The 15,709-nt window shown below is 38.0% G+C and overlaps 1 protein-coding gene across 2 annotated transcripts in view; it reads left to right on the forward strand.

The window, feature by feature from the left end:
- The window catches only part of NAA15 (N-alpha-acetyltransferase 15, NatA auxiliary subunit), an 89,880-nt gene that overhangs the window by 56,977 nt on the left and 17,194 nt on the right, over nucleotides 1-15,709 (forward strand). For both annotated transcript variants that reach the window (NM_057175.5, NM_001410842.1), the window contains exons 12-15: nucleotides 1,262-1,414; nucleotides 2,019-2,147; nucleotides 3,243-3,456; nucleotides 11,730-11,923. In NM_057175.5, coding sequence (NP_476516.1) covers nucleotides 1,262-1,414; nucleotides 2,019-2,147; nucleotides 3,243-3,456; nucleotides 11,730-11,923 — 690 coding nt within the window. The remainder of the gene's footprint in view (nucleotides 1-1,261; nucleotides 1,415-2,018; nucleotides 2,148-3,242; nucleotides 3,457-11,729; nucleotides 11,924-15,709) is intronic.

The following is a 15,709-nucleotide window of genomic DNA, read 5'->3' on the forward strand; positions in this document are numbered from 1 at the left end:
CCCTGCACCTGGCTAAAGAAGCACTTTTGATTTTTTATTTATTTTTTTTATTAATTTTTTTATTTTTAGATTTTTTAAAAAAATTATACTTTAAGTTCTAGGGTACATGTGCACAACGTGCAGGTTTGTTACATAGGTATACATGTGCCAGGAAGCACTTTTTAAAACTAGATTATGGCTCATTAGTTTTGAAGCTTTGCCAGATGGACTAGTTAGGTAACTTAGAATGAGGAACATTGGGGAATGTCTACTAATGGTCCTAATCAGTAATGTTTCCATGGTTCCTTTAGCGTACAGATTTGGCTATGCCTTTTATGACTTTCACATTTAATTATGTTTTGACTTCTAGTATTGGCCGGGAGCTGTGGCTCATGCCTGTAATCCCAGCACTTTTGGAGGCCAAAGTGGGCAGATCACAAGGTCAGGAGTTCAAGACCAGCTTGGCCAATATGGTGAAACCCCATCTCTACTAAAAATACAAAAATTAGCCAAGTGTGGTGGCAGGCCCAGCTACTCGGGAGGCTGAGGCAGGAGAATTGCTTGAACCCGGGAGGCGGAGGTTGCAGTGAGCCAAGATTGTGCCACTGTACTCTAGTCTGGGTGACAGAGTGAGACTCCCATCTCAAAAAAAAAAAAGATTTCTGTTATTATTTATTTATTTTTTATTGACATGGAGTCTTACTGTCACCCAGGCTAGAGTGCAGTGGCATGATCTCAGCTCACTGCAACCTGCACCTCCTGGGTTAAAGTGATTCTCCTGCCTCAGCCTTCCAAGTAGCTGGGATTACAGGCATGCGCCACCACCCTTGGTTTACTTTGTATTTTTAGTAGAGATGGGGTTTCACCATGTTGGCCAAGTTTGACTCGAATTCCTGATCTCAGTGATCCACCCGGCTCGGCCTCCCAAAGTGCTGGGATTACAGGCATGAGCTACAGCGCCCGGCCTTATTTATTCTTTAACAATTATTTTTGAGTATTTTTACTATGTGCCAGGCAGTTTTGGGCAATGGCGATATTAACAGTAGACAAAACTATTAAAATAAATCTTTACTGTCAGACAGCTTACATTCTAGAAGGCTGGAAAAAGGAATCAGAACTTATATTATGGAAGAATGCATTTCTTTATATTGATTAGCATCTAAGAGTCACAAGAATGCCTTTACTTTCATTTGTTTTTAAATTATTTATCAACAGATAATGAATTACCTGCACAGTAAACTTAGCATGCTAACTGGTTTATTTTGCTTTTGTACCTTATAAGCATGCTGGAAATATTAAAGAAGCTGCAAGGTGGATGGATGAGGCCCAGGCCTTGGACACAGCAGACAGATTTATCAACTCCAAATGTGCAAAATACATGCTAAAAGCCAACCTGATTAAAGAAGCTGAAGAAATGTGCTCAAAGTTTACAAGGGTTTGTACAGCTAGTGTTCTTAATTATGAATAAAGAAGACATGAGCCAGTTCATACTTGTATAACATGCTTATTTTTCAAAGTTTGTCTTTAATATTTTTGACACCGTAATAGCCAAGATTTTAATTAAATCACTGTATCAGAAGATACTGGAGTCAACATTGATATAAAGGATTTTCCATTTAGAGGGTTGTACAATGGACTTTTAAACTGGTTTATATTCATGTACGTTCAGATAAATTTTTTAGGGGTCAAGGGAACTAAAATTTATTGAATACCTGCTATGTGGTGGTGTTCTTTTTCTTGTATTAATCCCTACCCTCAATTATGTAGACCTTTGAAACTACATTTGTGTTTCAAAGTTTCACAGTGTTGAACACACAGTGTGTGTTCAAAAGTTTCACAGTTTCACCTGTGAAACTACAAATTATTTTTAGTAGTTAGAGAATATCAGTTGTTTTCCCATGTTAACTATTCTTTAAGAATGTTTTAAAAATTTTTTTGAAAGAGTCCCAATCAGCTTAACATCTTTGTTTTTTAAAATTCTGTGGTAGAATGATGTCTATGATAAAAAGTGATCTTGAAAATATTTGATTTCTGTATAGGAAGGAACATCAGCGGTAGAGAATTTGAATGAAATGCAGTGCATGTGGTTCCAAACAGAATGTGCCCAGGCTTATAAAGCAATGAATAAATTTGGTGAAGCACTTAAGAAATGTCATGAGATTGAGAGAGTAAGTACCTTCTACATAAAAGTTTTCTTGTTTTATTCTGTCGATGGTTTTGGACAAATTTCATAGTTTTTTTCTCTTCTATTTCTTTATAATTCATAGTAGGTGCTTTTTAAAATCAGTATTCACTTTTTTCAGTTTTCATACTGGAAATATAGACTGCATTTTCAGCCAGGGTCTCTATTGTCTTGTGGTAAGAACTCTTTTTTAAAAAACTTTATGGAAAATTTGTATCTTGGCTATGTTTTTATTGATTTTTGAACCTTCCAAATTGCTGCTGCCGCTTTAGTAGTACATACACAGCTGATTAAAGTACTCCTAGGACCCTGTTCATTGTAGAATTTATTGATGATGCCATATACCCTTGGTAAGATATAAATGTTGGAAGACTTTTCACAATATTTCTTCTGTAGCTTATCTAATTTCATGCTGTTTGATAAAATTGTTTTCTTAATTCTCTTCACGTCTGACTCATTTCCATGACTAGTGGTTGGTTTTTCTTTTTTGTGTTTTACACAGATAAACATAGTTTATATAACTAATTTCACATTTGCAATATTGTCAAGTATAGAATACCAAAGCTTAGTTGAAATGCATCAAGTTCCTGATTGCTTGACTTACTTGCTAATTGATTTCTTTTCCACATACCAGCATCACATTGCATAGGATTCAGATTTGTATCCTCAAAAAAAAATTATCAAATACATCTTATAATCCTTTGCAAATGATTCTAAATATAAAAACTCAATGTTTAACATGTGAGTCTACTTGCACTACTATGTAAATAAATTATGTTTGATGTTGTCACAATAGCTTTAAGTATAATTAAGGAAGGGATAATGAATAAACATTTTTAAAGCTTCCTTTTTCAACAAATGATTCTGTGCCTGCAGTATGCCATATCCTGTGCTAGACAATGGCTAACTGTATTTGCTTATTTGAAATGCAAAATATTCCTGTTGAATAATTGTAATTGTTTTTTTAAAATTTTACTAGTTTTTTTCATGCCAAAGTAACAAGTATTCCAATGCTTTGATTTTATAGTTTTCTTAGCCATTGCTGTACTTCGGTATAATAATAAAAAGATAATTTTGTTAGCATTTTATAGAAATCACTGATGACCAGTTTGACTTTCATACATACTGTATGAGGAAGATTACCCTTAGATCATATGTGGACTTATTAAAACTAGAAGATGTACTTCGACAGCATCCATTTTACTTCAAGGCAGCAAGAATTGCTATAGAGATCTATTTGAAGCTTCATGACAACCCCCTTACAGATGAGAATAAAGAACACGAAGCTGATACAGGTATAATATTCAGAGTTCTTCTTGTGCTCTGATGTGTTTATGTGTATTTATGTGTATTATGTTTTTCATTTAATAGTATTGCTCCATGTCTTGAGCACCACGAGGAAAGATATTATACAAGGTTCTCTAAACAACAAAAGAAAAATGTTTACTTTTATGCTTCCAAAGTTAAACAAGAATTTAATTTGCAGTTATTCATTGGCATTTAAGAAGTTTGCATGTTATGAGTTTTACATTTAATATCTGGTTTACCCAAAATTATAAATTGCTAACTATTTTACAGGTACTAGATTGCTAATTGTATAATTAGTATTATAATTCTACATTAGTGTTGGCTATTAGTATTACTAGTTATTTTTTTGAGATGGAGTCTCGCTCTGTTTCCCATGCTGGAGTGCAGTGCATGATCTCGGATCACTGCAACCTCCCAGGTTCAAGCGATTCTCCTGCCGCAGCCTTCTGAGTAGCTGGGATTACAGGTGCCCACCACCACGCCTGGCTAATTTTGTGTTTTTAGTGGAGACGGGGTTTCACCATGTTGTCCAGGCTGGTCTCGAACCCCTGACCTCAAGTGATCTGCCCACCTCGGCCTCCCAGAGTGCTGGGATTGGCCTCCTAAAGTGCTGGGATTACAGGCATGAGCCACTATTCCCAGCCTATTCCTCTTTTTAATAGTAATTTATAATTAACCTACTAAAAATGAATATTGCTTGAACATTAAAAACCAGCTTGGGATAAAGCTAGGAAAATTGCACAGTGACTTATCATTTGACTCATTTTTAATGTACCGTTTTTATAGTAGGGTATCGGAATGACTAGGGAGAAGTCTTTCTTAGACAGTTATTTGGGACAGAACCTGAGAATGAGTGATCTCATACGTACAAAAATATGAATTTTGTGCCTTACTCATGGCAAAAATGTTGTAGGAATTGGGGCATAAAAAGTGTGTTTAATTTTTTTTTCTTTTAAGCCTATTTCTTTTTTGAGGATATGATTGGCTACTTTCTATATCCTTCTTCCTGCTAAACAGCTTTTGAATTATTTTGCTAATTTGTCGTTAAGTTTTACTTCCTGTTGCCTAAGGACAGTTTAGAAATTTCTAAGGTCACATACTGAAGCCTTTGTACAGATATCACTTGAATCTCTTTCTACCTGTTGGTGTTGCTTCAACTTAGAAGAAAACACCAGTAAGAAGAATCTGCTGGACAATTTACTGTTAAAGTTGAGAGCTATGACCCTCTGGCTTCTTTTGTTTTTCTTTCTATTCTTCTGCCTCCCTCCTTCTCTTCTTCAAATTATACAAATAATACACAATTAACTTTTCAAAGCTGAGACTATTAATACAGAAGTATACTTAGCAAATATGAAGATCCCCTTTCACTTTTCTCCCACCCATTCTTCATTCCAGCAATTATCCCTGTGAAAGGATCAATTCCCTTTATGCACAACTAGTTTCCAGAGTTCTATGTGTACATATACACATGCATTTCAGGATGGTTCTTTGCAGGGTTTCTTGTTTGATTTGTTTTTCTTTAGTCCATAATTGGGTTTATATCATACTCAGTGTTCTGCAACTTAGACTTTTTACCCCATTTAATAGTATTGCTCCATGTCTGCATATCATAATTATTATTTTCACTGTTAACATTTTAGTGACTGTAGGAATCTATGTGAATTTTTTCACCATTATAGTACTATAGTAAATGTCCTTGTACATAATTATGTGCATATTTATTTAGCATGGATTATTAGAAGTGGAAATCGGTGGGTTGAAGGATATGAGAATTTGGGATAAAAGGTTCATCAGTTTTTATTACCACCAACATGGGTATTGAGATTTTCTTTTATTTTACATTATTGCCAGCTCTGAAGGTTATTGTTCTTTTACATTTTTGTATGTTGGGCAAAATATCTAGTTTACAATTAATATATTTTATTTGTTTGTTTGTTTTGTTTTGTTTGAGACAGGATCTCATACTTTTGCCCAGTCTGGAGTCCACTAGTGCGATCATAGCTCACTGCAGCCTTGAGCTCCTGGGCTCAGGCAGTCCTCTCAACTCAGCCTCCTGAGTAGTTGGGACTACAGGTGCGTGCCACTGCACCCAGCTAATTTATTTTTGTAGAGACATGGTCTTGCCATGTTGCCCAGGCTTGTCTTGAGCCCCTTGGCTCAAGTGATTCTCCTGCCTTGGTCTCCCAAATTGTTGGGATTACAGGCATAAGCCACAATGTTTGACCAATTTCTAGATTTTTAATGGAGTGGATTATATGTTTTCTTTTTTTCACTTAGGTTTTATCCTTTAAGATGAGTATCTTTCATTATATACAAGTTTTAATTTTTAATATTTAGTCTTTTTTTGTGGCTTCTAGGTCTTGCTTAGAAAGGCTTTTTCTACTTAAAAATTTAAAATATATTTATGAATATCTTCTGTGTTTTTCTTCTAATACTTCTGCTTTGCAATTTTTTAGATTTGGCTCTTTAAACATTTGGAGTTAATTTTTATATACGTTGTAAGGTGGAGGGTGGCTTTCCACCTCCCTTCCTCCCCAAAATAGACTGCTATTTCCTCTGTAATATTTATTGAGTAGGTTTTTGTATTCCTCGCTGATTTCAAATGCTACCTTTATCATGATAAATTCTGAAAAAAATAATGTAGTAGGTCATAGGCATGGTTTCTTGGTCTAACATATATTAAAGATATGATTAAAACTACATGGTATTGACATCAGTACACAGATAGGTTTCTGTTGTTATGATCCATTTTTCTCAATCTAACACTGTGTCTTTAGAATTTTCGTGTTTTTACATGCAGATTTTTGCTTATGCATACACGGTAGAATTAGCTTGTCTTCCAGAAAGTTTCTGATACTAGGTTGAATCATTTTTCAGTTGATTTTTGAAAATTTTCTATGTAGGCCAGTATGTTAATCTGTAAATGGCAGTAGTTTTATTTCTTTCAATATTTATACCTTTCCCCCTTATGTCTTCTGGTATGGTTAGAGTTGCTGAAACAGTGGTGATTAGTAGGAACAAAAGTGTATTTGCTGCCTTTTTTTCTATAGAGGTAGTACTAATAATGCTTCATGATAAATTTTAATATTTATTTATTTATTTTTGAGATGGAGTTTCGCTCTTTTCACCCAGGCTGGTGTGCAATGGTACAATCTTGGCTCACCGCAACCTCTGCCTCCTGGTTTCAAGCAATTGTCCTGCCTCAGCCTCCCAAGTAGCTGGGATTACAGGCGCCTGCCACCACTTCTGGCTAATTTTTGTATTTTTAGTAGAGACGGGGTTTCTCCATGTTGGTCGGGCTGGTCTCGAACGCCTGACCTCAGGTGATCCACCCACCTTGGCCTCCCAAAGTGCTGGGATTACAGGTGTGAGCCACCACATGCGGCCTACATTTGTCTTTTTAATCATCTGGAGTTTAGTATAGCATAGAAGAAGCCTAGACTTTGGAGTCCAAGTGAAGTAGATTTACATCCTTGCTCTGCCTTTTACCATGACTCTGAGTTATTTTCCTCTGAAACCTCAGTTTTCTCGTATATAAAATAATATTATACTCTAATTCGTGAGGTTGTTGAGGACATCAAATGAAATACAATGTATGGGGTATGGGCTGGGTGCAGTGGCACACACCTGTAATCCCAGCACTTTTGGAGGCCAAGGCAGGTGGATCGTTTGAGTCCAGGAGTCCGAGACCAGCCTGGGCAACATGGTGAAACTGTCTCTACAAATACAAAAAAAACCCCAACCAACCAAACAAAATAGGCATGGTGGTGAGCACCTGTAGTTCTAGCTACTCAGGAGGCAGGAGTGGAAGGATCTTTTGAGCCCTGGAAGTCAGAGCTGCAGTGAACCATGTTTGCCACTACACTCCAGCCTGGACGACAGAGTGAGACCCTGTTTCAAAGAAAAAAAGAAAGAGAGAAAAAATATAAGGTATGCATTATATCTATCATGTAGCAAGGCTACAAGTGGTAGCATTTATGTTACCAGTTGTTAAAAAGGTCAGTGCTTATGTTGCCATCCATTTATAGTTTTGTGTTTCCAGAATGTAATTTTTTGGTCTCTATTAGAATTTTTTTTTTTTTTTGCGTTTTGTTTTTAGTATTAAGAGATTCTTCACTAGGAGAAAGATAAACAAATAATGCATTTGTTTTCATTGGCTTTATGTTATCTATTGCTGCATCATAAATTAATCCCTAAATTTAGCAGCTTAAAATAACCCTTTTTTTGGGTCAGGAATTCAGAAGTGTCTAAGTGACTCTGACTCAGGGTCTCTTAGGAAGTTGTAGTTGAGATTTTGGATGGGCATGCCATCATTGGAAGGCTTGGCTAGGACTGAAGGGATCCATTTCCTAGATGGCTTACTCAACCTGGCTGTTGGCATGAGACCTTAGTTCTTAGTCTCTCCATAGTTTCTAAAGTTTCTGAAGACATGGTAGCTAATGATGACAGAGAAAGGAAGAAGCTGCAACACCTTTTTAATGTTCTGTTCTCCTGACATCACACCATTACTTCCTTCACATTCTAATTGGTCAGAAAAGAGTCACCAAGCACAACCTATATTTGAGGGGAGGAGAATTGAAGAATTTGTAGACATAAGTTTAACTGCCGTGGTCTGCATTTTGGTTACAAATTATTTACATTATCATTTTTGGGTTTTTTTTTTTTTTTAAATTTTTGAGACAGGGTCTCACTCTGTCTTCCAGGCTGGAGTGCAGAGACTCAGTCATAGCTCATTGCAGCCTCAAACTCCTGGGCTCAGCCAGTCCCCCAACCTCAGCCTGCCACGTAGGTAGGACTACAGGCACATGCCACCATGCCCAACTAATTTAAAAATCCTTTGTAGAGGTGGGGTCTTGCTATGTTGCCCAGGCTGTTCTCAAAGTCCTGAGCTGAAGTGATCCTCTTGCCTTGGCCTCCCAAAGTGCTGGGATTACAGGCATGAGCCACCACGCCCAGCTTACATTATTCTTATATGCAAAATATAGTTAGCCATTTCAAGGCCTTCAGAAGTCTATCCCATTGTAACATTAGCTTAAAGTTCAGAATCTTGTCATGTAAATCAGGTACAGGTGCTGAAGCAGCTCCTTGAGTATAGTTTTTTATTTTTATTTTTAACCTTAAGTGTGACATTTCAATTATAGTTCTTTTAATATGAAATCCTGTTAACTAAAATTACAAGTTATTTATCAACTACACACCCAATATAAAATGAGACAGGCATAGGATGACCACTGTAGACATTATTAGGAGACACACAGGAGTTACCACGTCCATCCTCAAGTCCAGTGGGGCATGGCTTAATAGTTCTTTGATGAGGACCCAAGACTGGAATAATTTTCTGTGGCTCTTGGCCCTGCCCTCTGAGTTCCTGGTTCCACTTTCTGAATTACCCTTTTTTTCTTTTGGAAGTTAACAGTTGTTTGCAACTGAGTAGTTTTTCAGTATTCTGACCAGTAAAATATTGAGAGTCTAAAGACCTCTTTTCATTTTGTGCTGTCATTCTTTTCCTTCCAGATTTACTATTTCTGCCCATAGAATAAACATCATGAATCTTTTGTGAGTCTTATTGGAATCCACGTATACTTGAGCTTCTATGGAGGGGAGAACACCCTTAAGTTCTTAGAAGTTTTATTGTTTGAGAGAATCTGTGAGTCATACTCTTAAATTTTTTAGAGAGCCTTTCTTCAGACTAAATAGTGAGGCACCACCATATTCTGAGTAACAAAAGATTGTAATGCCAAGCCCCTTTGCCTTCCCTCTTGACATATTTTTTGATCTTTGCCCAGCAAGCCATTTCTGGAGAGACTGAGAGTTTTCAAAACCATCAAGCCCCTGTCTCTTTTCTTTAGTTTCTTTGTCCTCTTACATTTTTCCTGGGCACTTTGCCTGAAAATCCCTTCAGTTAGTTAGTTAGCTCACTGAGTCCATTTGACACATTTTATAACACTGTTGCTAAACTTTCTGCTACTCTGTGGCTATTACATATCCTTCACTTCATTTTAAGGGCTCATCTGCAGCCTCCTCAAAGTCTAGACTTCTATGAATAGTCCAAGGCTCTTCAAACTTCCACTAAAGCCCTACTCAAAGTCTGTCCACCTTTTGCAACTCCCTGGCTCCAAAGTTATTCCCACATTTTAGGTTTTTGTTACAGCAGTATCTCATGTCCAGGTACCAAAATCTATGTTGTTTATCTATTGCTGCAAAACAAATTACTCAAAAACATAGCAGCTTTAAATAGCAACCGTTTATTATCTGACTGTTACTATGTGTCAAGAATTCAGAAGTCACTTAGCTGTATGTTTCTGAAGACTCTGGGTCTCTCAGGCAGCTGAAGTCAAGATGTTGGCTGGGCACGGTGGTTCATGCCTGTAGTCCTAATGCTTTGGGAAGCTGAGGCGGGTGGTTGCTTGAGTCTAGGAGTTCGAGACCAGCCTCGTCAACATAGTGAGACCCTGTCTCTATTTATATTTTAAAATTTAAAAAGTTGCCAGCTGGAGCATCTGAAGGATCAGCTTGGCTTGGAGGATCTCCTTCCATGATGGCTTACTCTCATGGCCAGAGGCATCAGTTCTTGGCCATACATTGGTCTTTCCATAAGATTGAGTTTCCTCATAAGACAGGAGCTGGTTTCCTCTGAATGATCCAAGAGAAAGCAAGGAGGAACCTATAGTCCATTTATGTCCTAATATTAATGTTACATACCTTGGTGTATAGTACATGTTACTCCTTACACATGAGTCACTAAATATAGCCCACGTTTGAGGTGGCGGGGGTGGAGGGGGGTCCTGCCTTTTTAAAGGAAGAACTTGTGGGCATATTTTGAAATCACCACAGTGGTAGTGTATTTTGGAATGACTTTTTTCATTTCTCTATATTAACAGATGTTATCCAAATAAATACTGGATGAGCCTTTAGCTTTCAAATTTGTTCCTTGAAATCAAAACAATATAAATATTTCACTATATTATAGCATATTTGTCAGTGATTTCCAGTCTTTTGAGACAGTCAATAGTTTATACTTCTAGGGATATTGTTAATTTTCAATATTAAATTTTTAATTTACTATAGAGTTATTCATTTATTGTGTTAACAAATATTTGAGTGTTGTCTGTCTGTTTTGGCATGCTGCTAGGCCCTGAAAATAAGGTTACAAATTAGACAGGATCTCCTTTACCAAAGAGCTCATAGCTTAAAAGAGAGACAGCTGTATAAACAAACTATTGTGTCAAGCAAAATATATTAGCCATAGTGGCAGCACAGACAGAATGAATAATTGTTTGGCCAGGTTAGAGAAGGCATAACTAAGCGAGCATAGTCCTCTGAAGCCATAGAGATATGCAACAGCTTGTTATATTCATAGATTGCAAATAGTTTAATATTGCTGTTTAACTTGTATGTTTTGCTGTGATCATTTGTTTACATGCATATCCCATATGGTTTCAAGAAAGTTTTCTGAAGTGGTTCCGTTGTTTGCTATCTGATGTTGAACCATTAAAAGGCTAGGTACTGCTGGGTGCGGTGACTCACGCCTGTAATCCCAGCACTTTGGGAGGCCGAGGCAGGTGGATCAGGAGGTCAGGAGTTTGAGACCAGCCTGACCAACATGGTGAAACCCCGTCTCTACTAAAAATACAAAAATCAGCCGGACGTGGTGGCACATGCCTGTAGTCCCAGCTACTTGGGAGGCTGAGTCAGGAGAATTGCTTGAACCTGGGAAGCAGAGGTTGCAGTAAGCTGAGATCTCGCCACTGCACTCCAGCATGGGTGACAGAGTGAGACTCCGTCTCAAAAAAAAAAAAAAAAAAAAAGGCTACATACATATGGGGACATTTACATCCATACCATGTAATATTTTTTTAAATTTGTTTTTTGAGACAGAGTTTCGCTCTTGTTTCCTAGGCTGGAGTGTAGTGGTGTGATCTTGGTTCACTGCAACCTCTGCCTCCTGGGTTCAAGCAATTATGCTACCTCAGCCTCCTGAGTAGCAGGGATTACAGGTGCATACCACCACACCCAGCTAATTTTTGTATTTTTAGTAGAGACAGGGTTTCACCATGTTGGCCAGGCTGGTCTCGAACTCCTGACCTCAGGTCATCTGCCCACCTTGGCCTCCCAAAGTGCTGGGATTATAGGCATGAGACGCCATGCCCAGCCTCATGCAATATTTTTTAATGGAAGTTTGGTAGGATCAAATAATACTTAAAATTACTAATCTGATTAACATGCTTGTTAATTTTATTAATTAACTTATTGCCTGCAGCAAACATGTCTGACAAAGAGCTAAAGAAGCTACGTAATAAACAAAGAAGAGCTCAAAAGAAAGCCCAGATAGAAGAAGAGAAAAAAAATGCAGAAAAAGAAAAGCAGCAGAGAAATCAGAAAAAGAAGAAGGATGATGATGATGAGGAGATAGGAGGTCCAAAAGAAGAACTTATTCCAGAGAAACTGGCCAAGGTACTTAATAATAGTGTTTAGCACAATTGAGTGACATTTTATGACCAGCTCTTGTCATTTTTATACTGTCTTATTTGACAGTATATAACCTTATGTGATATAGGTTTTAGAGCCAAAAATTATTTTATTTTTTAGTATTCTTTCTTTAATATTTTGTTTCTGATCGTGTTTCATGTTTAAAACTTGAAATAATGATCCTGTTCCAAAGTCATATAGTATAGTATGGTGGAAAAAATTTTGGCTTTTGAGTCATTCAGATCTGGGTCCAGATATTAGCTCTTATATTTTCACTGTGTGCCCTTGGACACTTTGTCTAACCTCTCTGATGGTTTTCTCATCTATAAAATGGAACTAAGAAAATCCTTATTTAGGACTGGAGAAAATACATATGTAAAGCATCTAATGTCTGTTACAGTGGTAACATGCAAGTTTTTATGTCTAGGCTAAATTGAGTTTGTTATAAACTGAGGACTATACGTGTATCTCCCATTTACCTCTGTTGTCAGTTTACATTATTTCTTTTCTAGCCTAAGGCTGTAAATATTTTCCCTAGGCCAAAATCTGACCTGCTGGTTTTAACCATTAAGCTGAAACCAAGATACTCATTGTCACATGAACCATTTTGATTAATAACATTCCTTTGTCCTTTCTTTTGACCCTAGACATCTTCCTGCTTTGTATGAAAATAATTGCATAATTTGTTATGTTAAAGCAATATAGGAAGCAGTCGCCCCAGACTTTAATTTTAGCCTCACTAGTAAGGAAAGGCTCAAAATCATTTCCCTGACTGCTTTATAACCAAGGAAAATTATAATGCCAAACAAATAGAGTTGGAGAATATGTTTTGAATTCTGTCCACCAGAGCAGGTGGACAGTAGTATCACGTAGACATAGTGATATTGCTATGAGAAATATAGCCATGTGCCTATAGTTCCAACTATATAGGAGGCTGAGGTGGGAGGATCACTTGAATCTAGGAGTTCAAGGCTGCAGTACACTGTGAGCTATGATCATGCCTGTGAATAGCCATTGTACTCCAGCCTGGGAGACATAGCAAGACTCTGTCTCTTAAAAAAAAAAAAAAGAAAAGTAGCACACACACACACACACACACACACACACACACACACACACACACGAAATATAGAAAAATCCAGTTGGATTCTACAAGGATTTATTGACATGTTTTTACAAATAATTGTATACCTGCTAGGAACAAACACAATACCTTTTTATTGTTGGGAATTTATTGGAAGACTGCACAGGGAAGCAAGAAAGCACAGAAAATGGACCTTTGAGGCCTCAGAGAATTTCAGTCATTCAGGGCATAGAACTTAAACTTTAGACCTTCCATCTTTATGCCCCCACTTTCTTTATTACTACTACTTTTACCACCTTCACTGCCAGCCTGCTGCCATCATCACTTTGTCTACTTACTTTTCCCTTTATCCCATGACTTTCCTTAATGACATTTTTCATTATAACTCTTCATGTTTTCATGTATTTCTCTTTTGTTTGTTTGTTTGTTTGAGGTGGAGTCTTGCTCTGTTACCCAGGCTGGAGTGCAGTGGCGCGATCTCGGCTCACTGCAAGCTCCGCCTCCCAGGTTCACGCCATTCTCCTGCCTCAGCCTCCCAAGTAGCTGGGACTACAGGCGCCCGCCACCATGCCCGGCTAATTTTTTTGTATTTTTAGTAGAGACGGGGTTTCACTGTGTTAGCTAGGATGGTCTCCATCTCCTGACCTCATGATCCTCCCGCCTCAGCCTCCCAAAGTGCTGGGATTACAGGCGTGAGCCACTGCGCCTGGCCCATGTATTTCTTAAGGAGAGGATCTCTTTTGATTATTTAGTTACTGTTTAATAAAGAGTACACCTGCAGAGCAGAATTCTTGTACTAGGTTTCCTTAAAGACTGTTAGGTTTTCCTTGGGTCCAGGGTGTCATAATTGCCTTCAAGCCAGATAACAACCTGTGGTCTAATTATTTGTAGCCATGATTGTAGAGTCTGAGAACAAAGTAATGGCTACAAACGGTGCTTCTGACTGCTTTGTTTGGAAGAAGCTTAGTGCAAGGTACCCTTTTTCATGGGCTGCTCCTCAGTACATATTATTCTTACCTGTTAGGTACATAAGACCTTTTTCTTCCTCAGCTAACTTCCTCCAAGATGCCCCTGTCTAAAAGCATCTATACTTACCAAGATTTCCAAATGTGGTAACAACATCAAATTATACCAAGCCATCATAATTAGGAGTGGCTTTGTAGGTTATTTTAAAGGCCGCCTGCCAAGTCTGGTTCTGCAGTATATAGTATCTCCCCCGCCCTTCAACCCCCCCTTTTTTTGGTGATTCTGTATTTCAGCTTTCTTCTATGTGGTAAATGGCAAATTTAGTGTCACTAGTTCAGGATAATATTCAGTCATGTGTCATTTAACAGGGATACATTCTGACAAATGCATGCTTGGGTGATTTTCTTGCTTTGTTTTGTTTTTTTGTTTTCTTTTGAGACAGGGTCTTGCTCTGTCACCCAGGCTAGAGTGCAGTGGCATGATCTTGGCTCACTGCAGCCTCTGCCTCCTGGCCTCAAGTGATCCTCTCATCTCAGCCTCCAGAGTAGCTGGCACTACGGGTGCCCACCACCACGCCTGGCTAATTTATTTTTATGGCAATGGGATTCTACCATGTTGCCCAGGCTGGTCTCAAACTCTTGGGCTCAAGGGATCCACCCACCTCAGCCTCCCAAAGTGCTGGGATTACAGGTGTGAGCTACCACACCTGGCTTGGGTGATTTTATTGTTGTGCGAACATCATAGGGTGTATGTACACAAACCTAGATGGTAAAGTCTACTACACACTTAGGCTCTATGGTATAGCTGATTGCTTCTAGGCTACAAACCTGTATAGCATGTTACTATACTGAATACTATAGGCAATTGTGATACATGGTAAGTAGTTGTGTTTCTAAAATGCCCTAAAAATAGGGCATTCTAATCTTATGGGACCACTTACGCAGTTCATTGTTGACCAAAACATCATTATGTAGCACATGACTATATAAAATAAAATCAAAGTATTAATAAATTAGCAGTAATTCCAGTAAAGAAGGAGAAAAGGAAAATGGGAATTAGTAAGGTCAGTATTCAGTGAACTTGAGTATAAATCTCAGGTCTTGGCAGAAGCTGTATCACTTGTTTCTCCAACTTACCATGAGGCATTAGTTGGTATTTATGAATTCCCTTTTGTACCACTCATCCTATCTTCCTCCTTGCCTTCACTCAGCATTTTGTTGGTTTGTTTGTTTGCTTTTTTTTTTTTGAGATGGAATCTCACTCTGTCACCCAGGCTGGAGTGCAGTAGCATGATCTCAGCTCACTGCAACACTCCGCCTCCCAGGTTCAAGCGATTCTCCTGCCTCAGCTTCCCCAGTAGCTGGGATTACAGGCACATACCACCACACCCACTATTTGTTTTGTTTTGTATTTTTAGTAGAGATGGAGTTTCACCATGTTGGCCAGGCTGGTCTTGAACTCCTGACTTGAAGTGATATGCCCACCTTAGCCTCCCAAAGTGCTGGGATTACAGGTGTGAGCCACCGCGCCCAGCCTAGCATTTTTTTTCCTGTTGTATATATACTTTTCCTTCCAAAGGCTATGATTCCTTAGTACAGTAGTCTTTCTTTAAAAAGTTGTATCATTTTAAACTTTTTGTTGCTGTGCTGGGAGTTGCTATGCTAGAGACATATACTCCTTTACAACATATCTTAATATGAGGATTAGATTTCAAGTCAGTT

This window comes from Homo sapiens, chromosome 4 (genome assembly GCF_000001405.40).
Source record: "Homo sapiens chromosome 4, GRCh38.p14 Primary Assembly".
Classification (NCBI taxonomy): Eukaryota; Metazoa; Chordata; class Mammalia; order Primates; family Hominidae; genus Homo; species Homo sapiens.